This window comes from Homo sapiens, chromosome 4, assembly GCF_000001405.40.
Source record: "Homo sapiens chromosome 4, GRCh38.p14 Primary Assembly".
Lineage (NCBI taxonomy): Eukaryota > Metazoa > Chordata > Mammalia > Primates > Hominidae > Homo > Homo sapiens.
The window spans coordinates 1,364,050-1,385,656 of NC_000004.12; the positions used below are offsets into that span (position 1 = coordinate 1,364,050).

At 60.9% G+C, this 21,607-nt stretch overlaps 1 protein-coding gene across 17 annotated transcripts in view; it reads left to right on the forward strand.

The window, feature by feature from the left end:
• UVSSA (UV stimulated scaffold protein A) overlaps window positions 1-21,607 on the forward strand; it is a 53,979-nt gene that overhangs the window by 22,039 nt on the left and 10,333 nt on the right. For 11 of the 17 annotated variants that reach the window (XR_007057948.1, XM_017008493.3, XM_017008494.3 and 8 more), the window contains 6 exons: window positions 2,271-2,382; window positions 11,315-11,459; window positions 11,985-12,119; window positions 15,998-16,181; window positions 16,831-16,939; window positions 19,717-19,891. Coding sequence is in view for 15 of the 17 variants with exons in the window: in XM_017008493.3 (XP_016863982.1) it covers window positions 2,271-2,382; window positions 11,315-11,459; window positions 11,985-12,119; window positions 15,998-16,181; window positions 16,831-16,939; window positions 19,717-19,891 (860 nt within the window). In the remaining 2 variants the exon portion in view is untranslated. Of the gene's footprint in view, window positions 1-458; window positions 523-2,270; window positions 2,383-7,873; window positions 8,555-11,314; window positions 11,460-11,984; window positions 12,120-15,997; window positions 16,182-16,602; window positions 16,940-19,716; window positions 21,415-21,607 lie in introns of those variants that run through there. The other 6 variants (XM_017008500.1, XR_007057949.1, XM_047416026.1 and 3 more) reach the window with 6 other exon arrangements.

Sequence of the window (21,607 nt, forward strand, 5' to 3'; positions counted from 1 at the left end):
GTGTGGCCTGGCTCCGTGGGGGCCACCTCCCGGCAGGGTGCTGGTGCCCGGGCCCCGTGGCCTTGTGTGGCCTGGCTCCGTGGGGGCCACCTCCCGGCAGGGTGCTGGTGCCCGGGCCCCGTGGCCTTGTGTGGCCTGGCTCCGTGGGGGCCACCTCCCGGCAGGGTGCTGGTGCCCGGGCCCCGTGGCCTTGTGTGGCCTGGCTCTGTGGGGGCCACCTCCCGGCAGGGTGCTGGTGCCCGGGCCCCGTGGCATTGTGTGGCCTGGCTCCGTGGGGGCCACCTCCCCGCACGGTGCTGGTGCGCGGGCCCCGTGGCCTTGTGTGGCCTGGCTCCGTGGGGGCTGGGCTTGGAGCCGCAGTCCCCTGCACACCTGGGCTTTGTCTCTGGTGAACATGTGGGCTCCCGCCCTAGGGGTCAGGGGTCAGGCCCCTCTTCAGTTGTCCTTCCTCCCTTCAGGAAACAGCTGCGATCGCAGGCGCCTTTGAGGTGTTGCTGCTGGGAATGCTTTTTAGAGATGCAGGTGTGTGTCAGAGTGATTCTGTTTTTCGGTTTTTCTCTTATAAACCCATTAAGGGTCCCCTTGCTTGGTATTCCTCCAACAGGGATCTCTCTCCCGGGAAGTTTCCCTCAGCTGTGCTGTGGGAACAGGAATGCAGGCGCCTCCATCCCGGGGGTACCTCAACCCTGGGGGCATCTCCACCCTGGGGCACCTCCACCCCAGCCACCCCAGGGCACCACCACCCTGGCCACCCTGGGGGCATGACCTTCAGCTGCCCTAGCAGCCCTGCCAGCCCCTCTCCTGGCCTGAGGGAGCTGAAGGTGAGGAATGACCGCCCTGCTGTGCTGAGCCCACACCAGGTTTGCGGTGGGTGAGCTGCAGAGGCGGGGCTCTCAGGGAAGGATGGTGCGCCCTGGGGGCTGCGTGCGAGCTCCCACACCCTGTCCTGGGCCGTGGTGGGGCTGTTGGAAGGATGCAGGCCAGAGGGAAGGTGAGGCGGAGAAGAGCTTGCCCACAGCCGCTTCTGAGCGCGTGGATGGAGCAGTTGATGCCCACCGTGTGGCCATGTTACTGAGCAGTGGGCTCGCTACCCAGTGCACACAGAAGCCAGTACTGCAGCAGCAGCTTTTGGGAAGAGAAAGGCTTTACCAGGGCAGGCAGCAGGGAGGCAGGTGCCTCCCCAGTTCTTCTTGGCCCTGTTATGCCCGCAAGACAGCTTGGCGTTCTGTTAGCAACAGAGCAGGCCTGCCTGGGCTGGTCTTATGGTCACAGCTGCAGCCATGGTGTCTTGTGCCACAGCCGTGCTGTGTGCAGGAGCCACCGTCTTTCTCTGGCCTGATGAGATGAGTCACCACACAGGTCCCTGCCTCTGCCCACTAAGTCGGGCGCAGGAAGGGGCAGGGTGGGCTCAAGGAACTGGCTTTTCTCAGGGGAAAAAGAAAGCAAGCCTTCCTGCCATTCTCCAGCTCCTCAATGGGAGGAGGGAGGCGGGGGTGGCACGAGGGCTCTCCAGACTCAGTGAGGGATCCCCCCACACCTACCCTGGCAGAGAAGTGGCCTTGTCAAAAGGAAATGGAGGTGGTTTTCATACAAGTCCTCAAGGACAGAATGTTCCAGAAGTACTTGTCCCTTTCTGTCACCTGACATGCTGTGGTCACACCAGCACCACGGGAGAACCCTGTGTGGGGAGCTAGCCCTGGCCCGTTGCCTAAGAGCAGACGCACCTGCTCCACCTGGTGGGAAGATAACTCACCTAAGCCCCGGGGGCACCGCAGACGCACCTGCTCCACCTGGTGGGAAGATAACTGCCCTAAGCCTCAGGGGCACCGCAGACGCACCTGCTCCACCTGGTGAGAAGATAACTGCCCTAAGCCTCGGGGGCACCACAGACGCACCTGCTCCACCTGGTGGGAAGATAACTCCCCTAAGCCCCGGGGGCACCGCCGCCCTCGCACCGGTGTGACGCCATTCCACAGGAGGGCAGCACCTCCCACAGGGACCTGGGGAGTCAGCCAGGGTTACAGTTCGTGGTTTTAACATAGACTCTAAACAGCCCCCAGCACAGGGGCAGTGCAGAGGTGGTGTGATTTTGGGGAACAAGAACAGCCTTGGAGACGATCTTAAATGCAGTCCAACCGTGGCTGATGTTGGAGCCCTAAGCAGGGGAAAAAGCTCCACAAGAAATAGGAATTTCCAGGGCTCTGCCCACCGGGAGCTGTGTTCATACACAGGGTCTGGGGGTTGATTTGTATTGGGGTGTTTTTCCACAGACAGAAGCCCTGGGGGATGCGGAGGAAGATGAGGACGATGAGGACTTTGTGGAGGTCCCTGAGAAGGAGGGGTATGAGCCACACATCCCCGACCACTTGCGGCCTGAGTATGGTGAGCAGTGGGTCCCGTGGGGGGGGCACCTGGGTGGAGGGTCCCCCACTCAGGATGTGGCCCCTTGGGGTCATGACCTCAGGGGCAGGGCCTGGAGCCCATCTTGTGGTAACTGCTGCTTTGGTTTAAAATGCTGCTTTTCCTGCTCACGGTCGTAGCCACGAGGCCGAGAAGTCGTGTGTGTGCTTTTCCTCTACGTTCTGGCTCCGTCTCGGGTTCTCGGGCCTGGGGCCCTCCCTGCAGCCTGCCCCGCGGTGGGCTTCCTCTCTGGTGGTCCTGCTGGTCCTCCTCTGCCAGGCAGGCCCTCAGGTGCCCGGGTCTGGGACAGGGGCCACCATCCTACCCTTGGTTCTTGTGTGTGGAGGACACCGGCCTGCACACCCAGCACACCGGCCTGCTGTGAGGACGCAGCGGGGCAGGTCTCTCCCTCTGTGCCATCCGCAGCCCTGCTCAGGGACAGAAAGGTCTCACTCACGAGGGTGGGCTCTCGTGGGCTCCTTGAACTTGAGGGTTGTGGGTGTGATTCCCGCAGCTACAGGAGCTGTTGCTGGCAGGTGGGAGGGGCCACCACCCCGCGCCTTCCAGGCTCCCATCCCCGCTTACGGGGGTCACAAGCACAGGCATCGCTCCTCACCGCTGGTGATGCCACAGCCTCGGGTCTGGGCCCAGGGCTGCTGTGCACTCCACGGCAAGGGGCTCTTCTCACTGTCAGGGAGCACTCGGGAGGTGCCGAACCCTGCCACAGCCTGTGCCGTGGAGGGCTTAGGTTTTTCAAAAATACCTCCCAAAACTGCGTTCCAGTGACACACCCAGGATTGTGGCCCTGGGGGATGGGCGTGGACCCAGGTGGGTCTACTCTTAAAGTTCCCCAGAGTACCCACAGTGGTGTTTGCATGGAGGGGAGGCAAATGAAAACAAGACCCTCAGCTTTTGTGTGGAATGGACAAGTTGGTTTCAATCAGAGTCTGTAAGAAGAGATGTAGATTTGTTAAGAGAACTTAGATGATTAGACAACTCATGTGTGAAGATATGACCCATTAAGGGTGTCATGCCGAATTAGCACAGCCAGGCTTCTAACGACCTTCCATTTGTATGGTCCTGTTTACTGGGGCCTGCTGTCTTCTGCCCTGGGGCCGCCCAGGGAGGGCCCAGGCTGGGAAGGCTGAGCTCCTGGGGTCAGTGTGAGCTTGAGGGTCTGGAAGAAAGCCTCAGACACCTGGAGCCAGCCGGGACCTCGCTCTGGGAACCACTGTGGCCTGGCCCATTCCGGACCAGGGTCCTGCGCTGCTTCTCCAGGGGCAGGCAGGCAGAAGCCGAGGGACCTGCACGCCTCTCCCCACCACCGACCTCACTGCGTCAGACCCCTTCCCCCACCGAGACGCAGCCCCAGCTGTGCCCTCATCGGGCTTCCCCTGTCCCCACCCCACACACACTGTTCTTCCAACACCAGCATCCACCTGAAATGGTGTTTCTGCTGATTCCCCACCTCGGGCAGGCGTCCCCACGCCTGACATGAGGGCCCTGGGGGTGCCTGAGCACACCGTTGGCCGCTGCAATCTCCTTCATGGCTCTTGGCCGCCCTCAGGTGGACCAGGCCGTGGGTCCAGCCCCCGGAGCATGGTGGAAGCACAGAGGTGTCTCCTGGAGGTGCTGCAGCCGGGGCCTAGGCAGCCGTCTTGTCTGCGCAGGCCTGTCCTGACCTGGCCTGCTGGGCTGCCTCATCTCCCGGACCCCTCCTGGGCATCTTCAGAGTCTGGGAGCTGGCACTGACCCTTGGCCTGTAGTGTCACACATTTCCTGGCCTTGGGCCTCTGCACAGGCCTGTTATGATGGCTTCTGAACCTTTTCAGCAGAAGTTACACATCTTAGACGGGGTGACGTGTGGCGTCTCAAAAGCAGAAATCCACACTTTCCCTAAAACCTGACTTGTGGCTCTAAATTATCTGAAGCAAGGCCAGAAGCGAAACTCAAACGAGGTGACTTTCCCCAAAGAACAGAGCGGTCTCCTTTCATCAGAAGAGGTGAGGCTCCCCGGGCCTGTGGCCAAACACAACGGTGACAGCGCTCACTCGTCACCAGGCCTGGCCATCCCCTCCCCACTGAAGCCCAGGGGTCCTGAGCCCATCGACAATAGCGTCCAGCCAAGGGGGCCGAGCGGCCTCGCAGCCCCTGCCGGGTGTGCTGGGACGCCTGCTCTGACACAGCCCTGCTGCAGGTACACCGAGCCTCACAGGGTCACAGGTAGGCACTGGGCTTGGCAGTCCCGGCTAAGCCTCACCCGTAGGCTGTCCCAGCCTGACCCTGGTTGTGAAGGCACCTCCAGATGTGTGTCTCCAGCTCAGGCCCCAGGCTCAGCAGATGATGAGCTGTCCCTGCTGGGTCCGTCCTGGTCCAGGGAAGTGTGCACAGCTGGTGCACTGGCGGCTGGTTCTTTCGCTGCAGCCGCAGGTCCCCACAGCGCCCTCCTCTGCTGGCTCCAAGCCTCCTCCACTGCATGGCGCCTGCCCCTTTCCTCTCAAGGCCCACGCCTGCCCCGGTGGAGGGGAGGGTGCCTTAGACCTGCCCCGGTGGAGGGGAGGGTGCCTTAGAAGCTGGGAGCTCCATCACAGCCTTGCCTGGGGCAGGCAGAGGCCCTGGTGGTTTTATTGCCACTGATTGACTTCTTGAGGTGAGAGGGCTAACCACGTTCTGCCGTTCTGCCGTTCTGCCGTCAGCCTTGAAGGTGCCGATGTGCCCTGTGGGCCTGGCCTGGGTACCCTTGGCGGCCTTGCTGGGAGTCGACCGGGTGCGAGCATGCAGCACCAGCTGTACCAGCCCCAGGCGAGGGCTGGAGGGCCCAAAGGAGGGGGCAGGCCCTGGTGACAGAGCTGCCCTCTGGGGTGCGCAGGGAGGACCCCTGGCCCCACTCAGCTTCACACCCCGGGGGCCCCAGGAGTGCCGGAGGCGGGGACCAGGCGGGAAGCGTGGGGGCAGGCGGAGGGGCCAGCTCAGTTCATAACACTAGTTTATATTCTGCCGCTGTTTTTTCAATTAAACGTGGGCGAATCTGAAGTAGTTAGATTTAGTCTAAATCCACACCACGGAGGAAACCGTGCTCTTTTTCTTTCTCATTTCTTCCTCTGAATTTTCACTGAGGGGCCTTTATCTTCCCCTTAATCCTACCATTTCTGTCAGGACATAATCTCTTTCTCCAATTTACATTTTAATTACAAGGCCAGCTGAACTAGGTAAAATCAATAATGTCAGCGCTGGGCAGGCCGCCTGGGCGCAGAGGCCCCCCTCTCCGTTTCCTACCATCGATTCCCTCCCTCACTGTCTGCTTTGGTGCTTCAGGCAAATAGGTGCCACTTGGCCAATGTAAACAGAAAAGGGGATTTGGACATTTTTATGATTCTTTCTCAAAACAACTGTGGGAGTGAATTTGAGCCAAGATACTGGACTCGAGTGAGACGCCGTGCGGGCAAGGCGGGCGCCGCGTTCGGCTGTGACGTGTGGCCTCTTGTTTTCCGGGAGTCGTTATTCTTCCTGAAAATGCCCTCAGTGCCTGAGGAATGCTGTCTGATTTTTGGGGTTTTGCTTTGAAAGTATGTCAGAGAGATTGATTTTCCACGCGATGCGCAAGTGGGAGTGTGTTTAGTGCCCTAAGTATTTACCCTGCTTTAACACGCTTACCCATCTTTTTAATGGTTTAAAACAACAAATCGATGAAAAATATATTTCATTCTTGTAACTCTTAGGAATTCTCAGATTGATCTTTTGGCTGCGATTGTATCTAAATGTCACATTGTTCACTTGTCAGTCTTGCCTCCGTCACTGTGAGCATGTGCGTGTGTGCGTGTGTGTGCATGCGTGTGCTGACAGCCCGTATCTGTGTCATGTGTATTGCCGGAATACTGAGGGGCACTTGGCAGGTTTGTGAGCAACACCCGGGACACGGCATTGAGTGCCAGCGCTGAGCAGGGGCTGCCCGGTGTCTCCCGGGTGCGCGCCTCGGGGCTGGAGGTCCGTCCCCATCACCTGCTCTGTGTGGCTCTGTCTCACACCCTCCGCTTTCAGCCCCTGGGAACCCAGGAAACGGGAGCAGCCTGGCAGGCGTGCAGCCGTGCACGGCTTAGAGGAGCTCCCGAGCGGGACAGGCACCTTCTGTGAAGGGCCAGAGCGCAGTCTCTCCAGCTTCGGGGGCCACATGAGGCCTTGTCTCCACGTGTAGATGGTGGGTGTGACTGGGTGCCAGTAACACCCTATTCACGAAAACAGGCGGTGGGCTGGACTTGGCTCATAGCCACAGGCTGGCGAGCCCTGCAGCTACTGAGCACAGGGTGCATGTGCCAGGCTGACCTCTGTCCAGAGAGTCAGTGGCCCAAGTCAGAGGTGGCTCCAGACAGCCCGAGTTCTGTGAGCCCTTTCAGACATGCAGCTTTTTCCTCCTCTGCAACTCAGGGACGGGGTCGGTGGCTCACTCCTTGATTCACGGGATGCTTGTCATGGGCCTGAGCAAGGCCCTTTGTCCTTACCCACTTCCCTCCCTGGAAGCCCCTGTGCCCGGCGGCCTTGCAGTACCCCCAGTTCTCATGCCTCCTCATTCTCCTCCCAGCTCTTCTCTCCAAACAGAGCATTCCCGGCTCTGCACATTGGTAAGTGGAGGCACTGTGGGTGTCCTCAGAAAGCCTGTGGTGAGCACATGTGTGTTCAGTGACAGCATGCCTGTAAGTACTTGTGTGTGGACGTGTATGTGTGTGTATGTACTCAGTAAGCCTGCACAAAAGAAGGCCTGCACGCTCTGCAGCTCACCCGTGTTCAGTGAGAGTACGTCTGTGGGTGGACCTGTGTGTGTGTGTGTGTGTGTGTGTGTGTGTGTGTAAAATCGATGACGTGTACATGACTTTCCGGGTGTCTGAGCTCTCTGGTGGCCTCTGTTTTTGACGCTCTGTTCTGTGGTCTCAGGACACAGTCTGGGCGGTGCTGATTCTTGGGAGGTGACTGAGGCCCCTGTTGACTTAGTACTTGGTTTTCTTTCGTCAGTTCCGCGTGTGTGTTGGAGAAGGGACTTCTTGCATAGTGTATTACTCCGTTTTCCTGCTGCTGATAAGGACATACCTGAGACTGGGCAATTTACAGAAGAAAGAGGTTTACTGGACTTAGCGTTCCACATGGCTGGGGAGGCCTCACAATCATGGTGGAAGGCAAGAAGGAGCAAGTCACATCTTAACGTGGATGGCAGCAGGCAGGGAGAGGGCTTGTGCGGAGAAACTCCCGCTTTTACAGCCGTCAGATCTCGTGAGACCCATTCACTCTCACGGGGACAGCACGGGGAAGACCCACCAGCTCCCTCCCACCACGTGTGGGAATTATGGGAACTATAAGATGAGATTTGAGTGGGGACACAGAGCCAGACCATATCAGATAGGAAATCTCACGGCATCTCTTAGTTTGGTGGTTTTGACTGTGCTGTACAAACCACCCGTGATACGGCTCATTCTTTCCCTAACAGCCACTTCCCAAGAGGGTTCGCCGAAGTCCCCACAGTCAGGGATACCTCTGCACCCGTAGCCCTCAGCATGGCTTCTTATGTTTTGAGACTGCATTTGTAAGTTACATATCTCTTCTTGTTTATTACACCTTCAAGCATTCCTTTTTTTACCCTCCTATTTTTTACTTAAAATCCAGCTTTTCTAGTACCCACATAGGACCTCCTCTGTCTTTTGGTCACTGTTTTCGTAGTAAATCTTTTTTCGTCCCTTTATTTTCAACTTTTCACTAACCGTTGTATCAAGTGGGTCTTCTTTAGACAGCATGTTGCTAAAGACATCCACTCCAGAGTCTGTCTTTCTGTTAATCTGAATCTGTTTAGTTAACGGTTGTTACGAAGTCTTCAAAAGACACATCTGGCGGCCTGTCACGCGTCCATCCATGGCACTTTCTCTCCGACTTCTGCTGCCGTCCTTGTCTCGTTTCCTTCTTTCTCCCACCATTTATGTGCCCCGTTGTTGTGCTGGTTTTTATTCTTCAGATGGTCACTCTTCATTGTAGAAAGGATTTACACACATATGTGTTTCTCAATTTCTGTACTATTTCCTGCATAAAACAAATAACCTAGCACCCTCTCCCCACGTGTGGCCTCCTTCCACCCCATCACATTGGATCATCCAGAACCAACTTAATTCAGGTTGATATGAACACGTGGGTTTGGGGTAGGGACAGGCGAGAGTCAACTTTACAAAGTCATGTGCTCAGTGTTCCTCCCGCGTCTCAGGGCACTCACGTCCCGCATCTCAGAGCACTCATCTCCTGCTACTCAGCACTCACCTCCCGCGTCCCTGCACTCACCTCCCGCGTCTCAGGGCACTCACCTCCCGCGTCCCTGCACTCACCTCCCGCGTCTCAGGGCACTCACCTCCCGCGTCTCAGGGCACTCACCTCCCGCGTCCCTGCACTCACCTCCCGCGTCTCAGGGCACTCACCTCCCGCGTCTCTACACACTCACTGCCCATGTTTTGCTCCACCCCCTGCCCCCTGGCTTTTCTTTGTGACTACTGGCTCTGAAGGTGTTTTCAAAGCGGACCTCACCATGGCAAACCTCAAAAGGCCTTGTCTCCATGAGGTCGTCGTCCTGTGCCTGCACAAGAAATGACCTTTTAGCTGGCTATAAAATCCTGAGCTTGAACTTCTCCTTCGGCACTTTCAAAGTGACCTTCTAAGATCTTGCATTCACGGTTGCTATTGAAAATCTTGTGTCAATAGAATTTTTATTTTTTGAAAGTATCAGCTAATTTATATGACCACAAGGTCCCACAAGAGGCCATCTCTAGGCTGAGGATCAAGGAGAGCCAGTCCGAGTCTCAAAACTGAAGAACTTGGAGTCTGATGTTCGAGGGCAGGAAGCATCCAGCACGGGAGAATAGATGTAGGCTGGGAGGCGAGGCCGTCCCTCCTTTTCACGTTTGCTTTATATTCGTTGGCAGCTGACTAGATGGTGCCCACCAGATTAAGGGTGGATCTGCCTTCCCCAGCCCACTGACTCAAATGTTAATCTCCTTTGGCAACACCCTCGCAGACACACCCAAGATCAATACTTTGTATCCTTCAATCCAATCAAGTTGATCCTCAGTGCTCTGTGTTAACCGTCTCGGGCCATGGTGTTCTTAGGTTTTCCTGTAGTGCCTCTGGCCATGGTTTTTCCTCTGTCTCCTCTGACTCTCAGTGAGCCTTCCAATTCCAGGAAAATGTGGCTCATTGTTTCTTCAACTGTTTTCTGCACTCCAATTATGTCTCTCCTCCTGGGATTTTAGAAGAGACGAGGATGCTGACACCTGCGCGTCCCCCACACCCCTCAGAGCTCTTAAGAGGGTGTTCCGTGCTTCCTCCCTCGCTGTCTGCGGTCACCTGTGTCTCACTCGTGCTGTGGCCGGTCCCCTCAGCCACCCAACAAGTCCTCTGCACCTGACAATTTTCCTTGCCCTTTGTCTTTGGTGGAGGCATCTTCAGGATCCCCTCACTTCCTGGCCTCTCGCTGTGTCTCTATGGTGCCCGTAGCTCCTGGGGAGCGTGGCATGGGCTGTGCACCTCTTCGCCCCAGCTGCCAGTTCGTTTTCTTCCTGTGGATTCTGCCGCAGCCAGGACGCCTTGCTCGGTCCGTTTTCTTTCCGTGGATTCCGCCGGGGCCAGGACGCCTTGCTCGGTCTGTTTTCTTCCATGGCAGCTCTCCGAAGTCTGGCTTCCCTGCGGTCCAGGTTCTTCTGGGGTCCTGAGCCCCCCTGGCCGGCAGCCCACAGGGGAGGACAGGCTCAAGTGCAGGCCTTAGTTGCTCCTGCAGCAGGTTTGGGGAGGTGGGTGGTGCCCTTTGTCCTAACCCATAGCCTACCTGGCACCTCCTGTGCCTCCTGCCATCCCGACGCCTCAGGACACCAGCTTAGCCGCTAGGGAGTATAGGCCCCGCCCTGACCGAGAGGCGCCGTCAGGGTCGGGGTGAGCCCCACGGAGCAGCCTGAGAGCCAAGCGCAGGCTGTGGTGCAGGAGGAGGGGAGAGGCAGGTCAGGGCCCAGCAGTGTTGGAGAATCTCCTTGTCCTGGTCCGGGGACCCTGGGTGCACGCTGGGCTGCGGAGGCCAGGGGCTGGTGGCCTCGTCCCTGTCATCTCTGTGGGACGTTGGTGAGACGCAGCGCCATGGCCTTGTCTTGCTGGCGGCGGGGCGGACCCTCTTCGACGGGCACTCCGGGACGGCATCTTGGTCCTTGGAATTCAGCCTCTGCCTGGCAGACGGAGGGAGTTGCCAGGGCCAAGACCTTGGTCCAGTGGCCCCTGTGGCTGTCAGAGGCGCCTGCTGAAGCTGTGGTGCAGCCCCGGGCGTTTCTGTGGGGACACAGGGGCTGGAATCCCCGCTAACATCGCGGTTTGACGTCAGCGTGAGATGTGGGTTGAACCCCTGTGTGGAGCTGTGCGTCTCTTCTCCTTGAGGACCATGTGAGCACCCTGTGGGTGGCCTTTCCAAGCGGCTGCCACCTCAGGCTTGGGTGCTGGGGAGGGCTCCAGGCTGCCTACATCTCACCACCGGAGCCTGAGCTGCCGGGGCTATGGGCACAGGGTGCCGGGCAGTCTGGGCTCTCGCTGCTGCCCAGCTTCTTTCCAGCCTGGCGAATCCATCTGCTCAGGCTGGCACTTCTGCAAAGCCCGGCAGCACAGTGTGTGAACAGCGTGGCCACAAGGCGGGACTGCCGGACCCCCCGACGCACGCCATGTTCTGGCAGAGCGTGGCCTGAGCTGCTGCTCCGGGCCTCACCCTCGCCCGTGAGGAGCAGATAGCAGGCACCCACCTCGGGACTGTTGGAAGATGGAACACGCTAACGCATAGGCGCGTCCTAACTGCCCGGTCTTGCCTGATGTGCCTGGCGGGTTGTGGGAGTGGTGGCAGGGAGTGGACACGTGTCTGTTTCAGGGCTGGAGGCAGCACCAGAGAAAGACACAGTTGTGCGGTGCTTGCGGACGAGGACGAGGATGGACGAGGAGGTGTCGGACCCCACCTCTGCGGCTGCTCAGCTGCGGCAGCTCCGGGACCACTTGCCTCCACCCTCATCTGCCAGGTGACTCCCAGTGTCCTGTGTGCTGAGCCCCCTGCCCGGCGCTGCCACAGCCTCTGCCCAGAGCACTGGCCGGCCTCGAGAGGCTGCTTAGTGCCTTTTCTGGATATCTTGGTGGAAGCCTTGGGTGTGTACCCCCGGCCGGGTGAGCAGTGTTGGTGCCATGTTTGGGCTTGTCAGTGCCAGCATCAGCTGGAGCCCGGGTGGGACTGGGCCAACAAATACCCTTCCAGACACTGCCCGTGCCTCTGAGAGGAGCCCCCAGGGCTGGGGTTTGAGAGGCAGATGTCAGGTCACCTCTGGGCCAGGGTGAAGGACTGCAGACCAGAGGCCAGCTGTTGGCGAGGGCCCAGAGCTTCTCACAGGACCTCAGCGGTGGCCCTGAGGCCCAGGCGTCGTGTGGCAGAAGCCATTGCTCACCTGATCCGACCCGAGGCCCCAGCCTTGCTGTGGGGGTGGGGAGGGAGAGGAGGGTGGCTGTGGGTGGCACCAGCAGCACCGTCAGGCTGTCCCACTCTGCTCCTGTAGCCCCTCCAGAGCGTTGCCAGAGCCACAGGAGGCCCAGAAGCTGGCAGCAGAGCGGGCCCGGGCGCCTGTGGTGCCCTACGGCGTGGACCTGCACTACTGGGGCCAGGAGCTCCCCACAGCCGGGAAGATTGTCAAGTGAGTCCCCATGTGTCTGAAGTCGGCCAGGGCACACAACCAGGGTCCCAGCCTGAGGAGGGGGCTGCCGGCTCACCAGGCCTCCCTGGGTCTGAGGAAGCTGGCCCTGCCTCCCAGCTCTGCCCCACCTTCCGGGCACCTGGAGGGGCACAGGGGTGGGCCTCCCCTGCTGATCCGGCTCGTGGAGCCCAGAAAGGCTTTTTTGAGCCTTTCTGCTGCTGTGTCGGGGGCCATCCATGGAGCTTGGGTGTTATGAATCTTGTGGGAACAGCTGGACGAGAAACCACTCCCCTAAAGGCGGCCCTGGGGCCCGTTCAGTTTGTCCTGCTTCAGGACTGCACGGTTGGCTGAGGCCTGGGGCTTCCTGACCGTGTTGCAGCTGCTCACGGTGACCGTGTGTCCAGACCTCAGGCGGGGGCTCTGCAAGGAGCCTCGGGAAGCCACCCTCCCTGCCCACTTTCCCCTCTGCACCCCTCACCGCACTGGCCTCTTCTCTGTGAAGCTGCAGCAGAAGGGGGCACACGGGGGTCATCTGTGCGAAAGTCCGGACCGTTGGGCCTCAAGAGGCCACCTGGGTACTCCAGCGCCTGCCACAGCTCGCTGGCACGGCCTATCGGGGGAACAGGGCCCCTGCCGCCGCCTCAGCTCCTGCCGCAGGACGGTTCTCCACACCCGGGAGAGGGTGGGGAGGACAGTGCCAAGGCTGTGTCCTGGGATGGAAGGTCACCCTAAGGCGTCTTCCTTAGAGGGCAGAGGTGGGTCCCCCTGGCCTCTTGCCAGTCCCCGCCATCAAGACCCAGGGCCAGGTGTGACACGGAATATTGCCGTCCCCACAGCACCCATTTCAAGGGCCGGGCTGCCTGTGCAAACACCGTAACCACTAAAGCCAATGCTGCGGGGTCTGCGGGGCGTGATGCGGGAGCGTCTCATCCGTGTGAGGGGCTGATGTCAGAACCTCCAGAGAGCGGGGGGGCAGGGGAGCCGGGCAAGGGTCCTGGGGCAGCTTCAGGGCCTGAGGAGCACCGTGTGCCCAGGGCAGCCACTGCCTCTGTGTCTGGATGCCCAGGAACGGGCCCCGAGTGCCGGGACGTCCTGGCACATTGTCCACAGCTGCCTGTGTTCCCGGGGTTCTGCTGGGCTCACACACGACACACGAGAGCAGGATGGTAAGCGAGGCAGGCCCTGGTCTCACTCACAGCAGGACTGAGATTTGAGGGCCCCGTCCTCAGGGCTCCACAGACACCGCCCCTAGTGGGGGCCAGATTAGGGACAGTGTGAGGAGGGAGGGGCTGGGCAGGCTGCTCAGCGGCCGGAGAGGTCGGGAAGAAACAGCTGTCCCTGTCACACATTGCCACCAGGGGTGCCCCAAGGCCAGTGCTTGGTTTCTGAGCCTGGGAGGTGACGCCCAGCAAAGCTCCCACCGAGAAGCGGATGCCCGTCCCTCCTCCCACCTGCCTGGCCCGTCCCCAGGACCACAGGCTTTGCCCTGAGCCCCCAGGCAGTTGGGCTGAGAGAGAGGCCTGAGCAGCTGCTGGTGAGGACCCGGTTAGTCCTGGATGGCACCGGGGCCCTGCTGGGCAGGCCTGGCTTCACGTTCCACCTGCCTGGCCCGTCAGCACCACGCACCTGGTGCATCGAGCTCACGGCTTCATGTTTCCCCCAACTGCCTGCACACTGCTGTGGTCGGCTTGATGGAGTTGCAGCCTACACATGGCAGCGGCCCGGGCTGGGGAAGGGCCCCATGTCAGCTGCGTGGATGGGGGTACATGGGCTGGTGCAGGAGATGGCACCTGGGTGCCACATGTGCCCCACAGCCAGTTGAGGGCCACACTCCTCCTGGCTGGCCCCTAGCCAGGATGGCAGGGGCTGCTCACCCCACATTCCCTCACCAAGTGGAGGGGTCCTGCCCTCTGGCTCTCAGCCACATTTAGGGATCTCGGAGAGCCTGGGCTCGCCCCTTTCATCCAGGAGGTCAAGATGATGCGGGTCCGGGAAGCCAGGGCCTGGCCAGGCCGTGGTGGGAGACAGGGCTGATGGGGGTGGCGGCCACAGGCAACCACTAGAACAAAGCCGTCCTGGTACACAGAGGGCTGGCGGGCCCTGGCTGGGTACAGTGGCTCACGCCTGTAATCCCAGCACTTTGGGAGGCCAAGGCAGGTGGATCACTTGAGGCCAGGAGTTCGAGACCAGCCTGGCCAACATGACAAAACCCCATCACTACTAAAAATATAAAAATTAGCCGGGCGTGGTGGCGTGCGCCTGTAATCCCAGCTACTCGAGACTGAGGCGGGAGAATCGCTTGAACCCAGGAGGCGGAGTTTGCAGTGAGCTGAGATCGCACCATCACACTCCAGCCTGGGCAACAGAGCAAGAGTCTGTCTGAAAAAAAAATAGCCAGTGGTCCTCGGCCGAGGGGAGTAGAGGGAAGCATCCCTGCACCTGGACGGGGAGGAAGCGGTGGAGCCCGTGGTGTGGCTGCTGTGCGCCGGCTCCTGAGTGTTCTCACTGCGATCCACGGGGCGTCTCTGGTCCGAGTTCCGGGTGGCAGAATGCATCGCTGCTTCTCCCACGGGGCCTTGGGTGCAGCAGGAAGCATTTGGCCGGGCGGTCAGGCACCCTCGGGGGAGCCGCATGTACCTCCTTGACTGCGGGGCACATGGCCAGGTGCTCTTCAGCCCACCAGGGCTTTGCCCGAGACGCCTCTGCCTGTAGTGGGGCCAAGGCCCTGGGCAGCACATTCTGCCTGCGTTCCCACCCACTGCCTTATCCCAAACCAGCCTCATCCCAGACCAAGGTGGATGCAGAAATGAGGTCCAGGCGGCCCCAGGGCAGGGCCTACTGCTGGTCCCTTCTCCCTAGCGTGGGCCGTGCCTGGGGCTGTGCTCCTGTCTGTGGACCTGGGGTGAGGGCGGGGCTGCTGGGCTCTGCTCCTCCAGCATCCTCAGGCACAGGGTGTGGGAGCCCGGGAGCTTCGGGCAGAGCCGACCGTTCCCCAGTCAGCAGGCAATGAGCAGCCTCTCATCACTGGGAGCCCTTGGCACTGCCCATCTGTCCTCCCCAGCTCCTGCTGGCCCCAACTGTGGCTGTGTGTCCTAGAAGGAGGCCTGGTGGCAGCACAGGGGCAGTCTGGTCTGTGTGAGGGCCCCTCAGACACTTCTCCCCTGCCTGGGCATCCAGGTGGGCAGGGGGTGGAGTCCTCTGAGGCCGGCCTCCTCTTGGCCGGCACACCCAGCCCCCCCATCCCATGGCATCCGCCGGAAAGCGTCCCTAACCAGGTTGATGACAACAGCAGAGCGTGGGAGCGGACGCACCTGGGACGCCTGGGAGACCTGGGACGCCTGGGGCAGTGGAGTCTGGTCTCCAGCACCCGGCCCCTCTGTGCTGCCAAGGGCTGAACGGCCTTCACTCCTTCTCCTGGGTGTGCTACCGCCCTGTCCTTACGTCCCTGCAGTGGAAGGACGACCTTCATGTGGATGCCCCGTTGGCCTTCAAGGTCACGCCTCAAGGACGCAGCAGCTGTCGCCCTTGTCCTATAGGGAGAGCCCATCTTGCAGGTGGCAGTCGTGCCCGTGGTCGCGCGGCTGGTTCACGTGGCGTCAGAATTCAGACGCAGGCGGTCGTGCCCGTGGTCGCGCGGCTGGTTCACGTGGCATCAGAATTCAGACGCAGGCGGTCGTGCCCGTGGTCGCGCGGCTGGTTCATGTGGCGTCAGAATTCAGACCCAGCCGGGAGTGACCGTGTTCTCCCTGGGTGCTGTCCACAGTGTTGGGGTGGCTGGGCTGCAGTGGTGTTTGGCCTTCCCCTGTGCCTGCACCACCGTGGCCACGCTCTTCTGGGGTCCCTGCAGATGCTATGAGGGCCTCTGGCTGTGTCTGCAGGTCTGACTCCCAGCACCGCTTCTGGAAGCCCAGCGAGGTGGAGGAGGAAGTGGTCAATGCCGACATCTCCGAGATGCTCCGGAGCCGCCACATCACTTTTGCCGGGAAGTTTGAGCCTGTGCAGCACTGGTGCCGTGCCCCGAGGCCAGACGGCCGGCTCTGTGAGCGCCAAGACCGGCTGAAGGTGAGGCCGTGGCCCGAGGGCGGGGGTGGGTGTGGGCTGGACCAGGTGGGGCAGCCAGAGGGGTGCTGAGCCCCACCTGCCCCTGCCCTGGGTCAGGGTGCTTGTGAGCACTGAGAAGCCCATGGAAGGGGCTTATCCGTGGTGGGCAGAAATTGCTTAGCCGTTGGCCATCAGAGCATGGTGTCTGGGGCTCCTGCCCACGGCCCTGAAGCCTGACACCTGGGTACATGGCTTGGGGACTCTCCAGGGGCCAAGACACACAGTATCCTCCATGGTTGCAGCCCGGGTCTGTGCTGGGCCTGGGATCCTCAAAAGTGAGGAGAGGCCAGGGGGCCAGGGCAGCTCCCAGCCGGGCAGCTGGGCATGGTGCAGGGGGGTCGCTATGGCCATGCTGGATGAGGGAGGCCTAGACTTTCCACAGCTGCCCAAGACCTTCCGGCTCCAGAGGAGGGACGGAGCCATCCCCACGTCCCTGTGGCTCTCAGGACGCCCTCCTCTGAGGGGCGCGTGATTCCAGGTTGTGTACACTTTGGCTCTGTGATACCACCCACCCTGGTCGCTGTTTGTGCCCAAGTCGTGGTGGTGGGGGGAGGTGGTCAAGGCAAGCGGACCCCTCCCCGCCATCAGCCACCGTGTCCTCGCTGTGCAGTGCCCTTTCCATGGGAAGATTGTTCCACGGGACGACGAAGGACGGCCGCTCGACCCGGAAGACAGGGCTCGTGAGCAGCGGCGGCAGCTGCAGAAGCAGGAGCGCCCGGGTAGGTCTGGGCAAGGCGGTCACCGTGGGAGGCACAGCCTGGGACTCACTGCCACTAGTGGCCCGGGGTGTGTCTGCAGAGTCACAGAGCACCCGCTCTGCCAGCTTCGTCCATGGAGCTACAAGCCTCTCGGTCATAACTGGCAGAATCAGGAGGGGATGCTGCCCTGAGGGTCCTGGGTTTGGGGGCTCCAGAGGATGCTCCAGCTTTAGGGGGTCACGTGTTCATGAGGCCCTGACCGGGAGGTGGGCACCCACGGCCCCGAAGCCACAGGTGCCATCTGTGTGGCTGGGTCCTGCTTCCCTCGTGTTTTCAGGCAGGTGAAGGCCTTAAGGCGAGAGAAGTGATTGGGCTGAGCCCAGAGTGGCTTCTAGGAACCCCTCTGGCCTCCTCAGCCATACCCCGCACCTGCCTCAGTGTGCAGGTGGCCACAGCTCTGTCCAGGAGGCGTGTGGCCACTGCTATGGCGGCAGGAGTGCGGGTGCCCAGAGGCCCTGGACAGCAAGGCCACTGTGGGGCAGCACTGCCACATCAGCAGGGCCCATCTGCCCACCCTGTCTCACCCCAGGCCCATCTGCCCGCCCTGCCTCCCCTCGGGCCCATCTGCCCACCCTGCATATCTGTTTTCCAAGGAAGATTTGTTTTTAGAGGCCCTGGCCAGCCTCAGGCGCTCTCTCTTCTTTTTACTTTGATTTGGCTTTTTTTTTTTTTTTTTTTGAAGCAGGGTCTCTCTCTGTCACCCAGGCTAGAGTGCAGTGGCGCAGTCATGGCCTCCCAGGTTCGAGCGATCCTCGTGCCTCAGCCTGCCAAGTAGCTGGAATTATCATGCCACCATGCCCGACTAATTTTTGTATTTTTATTTTTAGTAGAGGTGGGGTGGCACTGTATTGCCCAAGCTGGTCTTGAACTCCTGCATTCTCCTGTCTCACCTCCCAAAATGCTGGGATTACAGATGTGAGTCCCCGCCCGGCCTCGGTCCCTTCTGGAGAGTGGCCACACCTGCAGGCCTGGCCCTGGCCCGAAGTGGGGGTTCACACCTTGTCTTGAAGAGCAGCTCTGGGGGCCCAGGATCCCTTCCAAGCTGTCTCTGTCATGGCTCCCGGGTGTCTTGCACTCTGGTCATGAGAGGCAGATGTTGAGTGCAGCCTGATGCCCAGAGGCAGCAGCTCAGCCCTGGGCGGCGGGAGGGCCCTGACCTGCTAATCTCCGGGTGAGGCCTTCCCTGGTGGCTCACACTCAGGAGCAAATTAAGTGCCTATTTTTTGTGTCAACCCTGAAGAGTATCTGGTTTTCCAGCCCTTGGTGACTTGTTAACAAACAGGTATCAGGCCGCGGGCTGCGGCCAGCGCTGGCCAGTCAGATGTGAAATAGTGTCTCTTTACTAACTACGGTATTGATCCCCGCCTCCCTCGCGCACGGCGCAATTTTCCTTTCCCTGGTGCTAACCTCAGTGACAATGTGCGTGCTGCTGCAGGGCCCGTCAGCGCCCAGGAAGGCCGCGCGGTCCCAGCATCTATTGATTTTCCTCAAAGGCTTTTAAATTGCTCCTTCATTTCACTGAGACGCTCGCTCCATCTCTGCTGGGTGCCGGGGCTTTTTCGTTGTGTTTAAACAATTGCTCCATTCACCGGGTTCCTAAACTGTGGCGCCTTCTTATTACTGGGAGATAAACTGTTTGGACAGTTTTCCTTAATCTTGGATTAATCGTTCCTGTATCTGAATTGTGGGCCCCGTATTCCTTCACTTCAAAGAATCCGCTTGGGAGGCCTGGCCATCCGTCCGAGATGTGGGCATTCCTCCGGGGATGTGCCCCCGTGGCCTGGTCGCCCCCGTGGCCTGGTCCCACTGGCTCAGCTCGTGGGGTCCTGTCTGCAGGAGCGGGTGCCTCTGTAGCATTGGTGCCTGGCCCCCTTCTGTGAGCCAGGGTTGTCTGTAAGTCCCATGGCCATCACAGTCCCGTCAGGGGTGGCCTTCCCGAGCCCGACCAGCACCACACCTGGTGGAGGCCCACCTCCGCCTTGTGTGGGGAACCCCACAGGAAGCCTGGGCCTGTGACCCCCGAGGGCCTCAGTGCCATCTGCACGGTGGGTACTCTCAGCCTGGGAGGCTGCCCAGTGGGGCTGTTGACATTTCTGTCCCCTCACTGCCACAGGGCCTCAAGCAGACAATGCACGGCTTGCTTGGGAAGGGCAGTTCTGTCTAGGAGAGCCCCAGCCTGCATTTCTGAGGCCTGAGGCCAGGTCATCTTTGGATCAACGAAAAAGAAAAGCCCTTTGCTGAGCATCATGCTTGGCCCAGCCCTGCCACACGTACCTCCCCACCAGCAGGCGTGTCCAGCAGGGCCACAGTTTGCCTAGTGGGGCACGGTCCAGCCTGCAGGCAGGAAAGGAGCTTGCGGATGGTGCCACCCCCCAACCGCTGGCCTTAGCCGCCTTCCAGCCTGGGAGGCCCATGGGTGCCCTAGGAGTGGCCTCTGGGCTGAGCCCCTGCTCCCCATCTCTGGGCTGCAGGGGCCTGTGGGGGTGTGGGGCGGTGGGGGCAAGCTCTGTGTCACCTTCACCCTGTGGGGGCCAGCATGCCCACCCTCCCCAGCCTGTTGCTCAGGGAACCCTAACCGCTGAGCATCCTCTCAGGCTTGCTGCTGCCAGGGTACGGCCGTGGGCAAGGCGACCCAGCCCCCCTGTCAGGACGAGACCAAGAGCCCCTCCTGGGGGCCTCGGGTAAGAGGCTCTGGTCAGTGCCAGACGTCTCCTGAAGTGCTTGAGTTTTGTTTGCAGAATGGCAGGACCCTGAGTTGATGAGAGACGTGGAAGCAGCCACAGGGCAGGATCTCGGCTCATCCAGGTACAGCGGGAAAGGCAGGGGGAAGAAGAGGAGGTACCCCAGCCTCACCAACCTGAAGGCTCAGGCTGATACCGCCCGCGCTCGCATTGGGAGAAAAGTCTTCGCCAAGTAAGAGTGGCTGCTGGGTCACCTCCCACCGCGTGGCCCCCCCGTGTGAGGGTGTTCGAGGGGGGCCATCTGAGCGCCAAGATATTCCAGGGACTTGGGGCCTCCAGGGGCTCCCCTGCTTTGAGTTCCCCTGGGGGACCACCCAGCCTTTCCCCGGGGAGGGGCAGTGCCAGCCAGCAGGGGCAGCAGGCAGGTCTGCTCAGGAACGCCCCCCAGCATTCCCCAGGATAAGAGGGGCTCGACCGCCAGGCACCGCCATCCTCGCTTCCTGGGGGAGCCATGCCAGGACACAGGCCTTGGCTGGTGCAGAGTGAGCCCCTCGTCTCTCCCTTGCCTGGCTGTACCCCCAGGTCAGTGCCTGCGTATTTCTGCAGCGGTGACTTCAGGGAGGGCGATGACTGCAAAGGCGGGCAGAACGGGGGTCCACGCGTCAGCCCCAGCAGAGCCCAGCCCCAGCATGTCTTCTCTGAGCACTGGCTCTGGGAGGCTGGCCTGGTGTCTCTGCAGCCCAGCATGGGCCTGTGTGACTGGTGAGGACTTGGCAGGGCCAGAGTGCGAAGCCCACCAGCCCGGCGTCCCTGCGTGCAGTCTGTCAGCTGGGGCACCAGCCACTCGCACGGCCTTGTGTTTCTGTCTTCATATTGCCTTGTTCTCGCCTAAGAAAATCCAGAATGCTTGTTTAGAAGCCACCTGAGGCTGTTGACTCCCTCCCAAATCTGTGTCAAGTCCCTGCTGGTGCAGGTTTGTCTGGTAGCACCAGTGAGGTGGCCCCCACCCATCGCCATCCCAGAAACCCTCCCTTGGACACACCTGGAAGGTGCTAAGTGCACCGGGCAGAGGAGGCCCCTCCTGGCCAGCATGACCGTGCACCGGCCTGAGTGGGCTCGGGTGGGAGGCGCCTTCACAGCACTCAGACCAGGCTTCCCCCAGGCTTGTGGGTGGTACATCCACAGCCTTGCTTGGGTGGGGCAGGGGCGCTGGTGGGGGCTGTGGAGAGGCTGCCTGGGGCCCCTGGCACAGGGCTGGACCCATCCCGTATGCCAGCCACCCAAGGCACCTTAGCCCTTGGAGCTCAGGGTGAGGCTGTTTTCCCGTGGATCAGCCAGGGGCAGAGGCCAGCCTTGGTGCTGATGCCCAGGAGGAGGAATGGCCAGTGGGCCCATGCCAGGCCTCCTCCCTGTGTCTCATGGGGACACTGAAGCCCATGGCAGGAGCTGGCTCTTCGCCACAGCTGTGTGGCCCAGACCCCTCCCTACAGAAAGGATCTGGGGTGACCACAGGCAAAACCCTGCCTCGAGGGGCCCCCACAGCAGCGCCTGGCAGCCCCACAGGGGCCGCAGCTGAGCGGCAGCTTCACCACATTGTGGCCTCAGGCCCTGCTGGCTCCACAGCTCCACACCCTCGTGGGTCGCAGCAGCTGAGCTGGTCAGCACAGCACACCTCATCCTGCTCCCCGGAATGCCTGCCTGGCCCGTGCCCCCCCTGCTGCAGCCCTCCAGGTTTCCAGCCCTGGCCGTGGAGCCGTGCGTGCAGCAGCGGGCAGGGCTGTCCTGACGCCTCCTGGCTGCATCTCCTGCGAGGCCGCTCCCCGGGAGGCCAAGGGGGAGGCTGCCCTCATCCTGGAGTGCGGGAGGCCACGGGAGAAGTGCCAAGGTGGGGCTGGGGCCACCTTCACCGCGCAGAACCACCCGCCGCAGACTCCGCTTCTGGGACCTG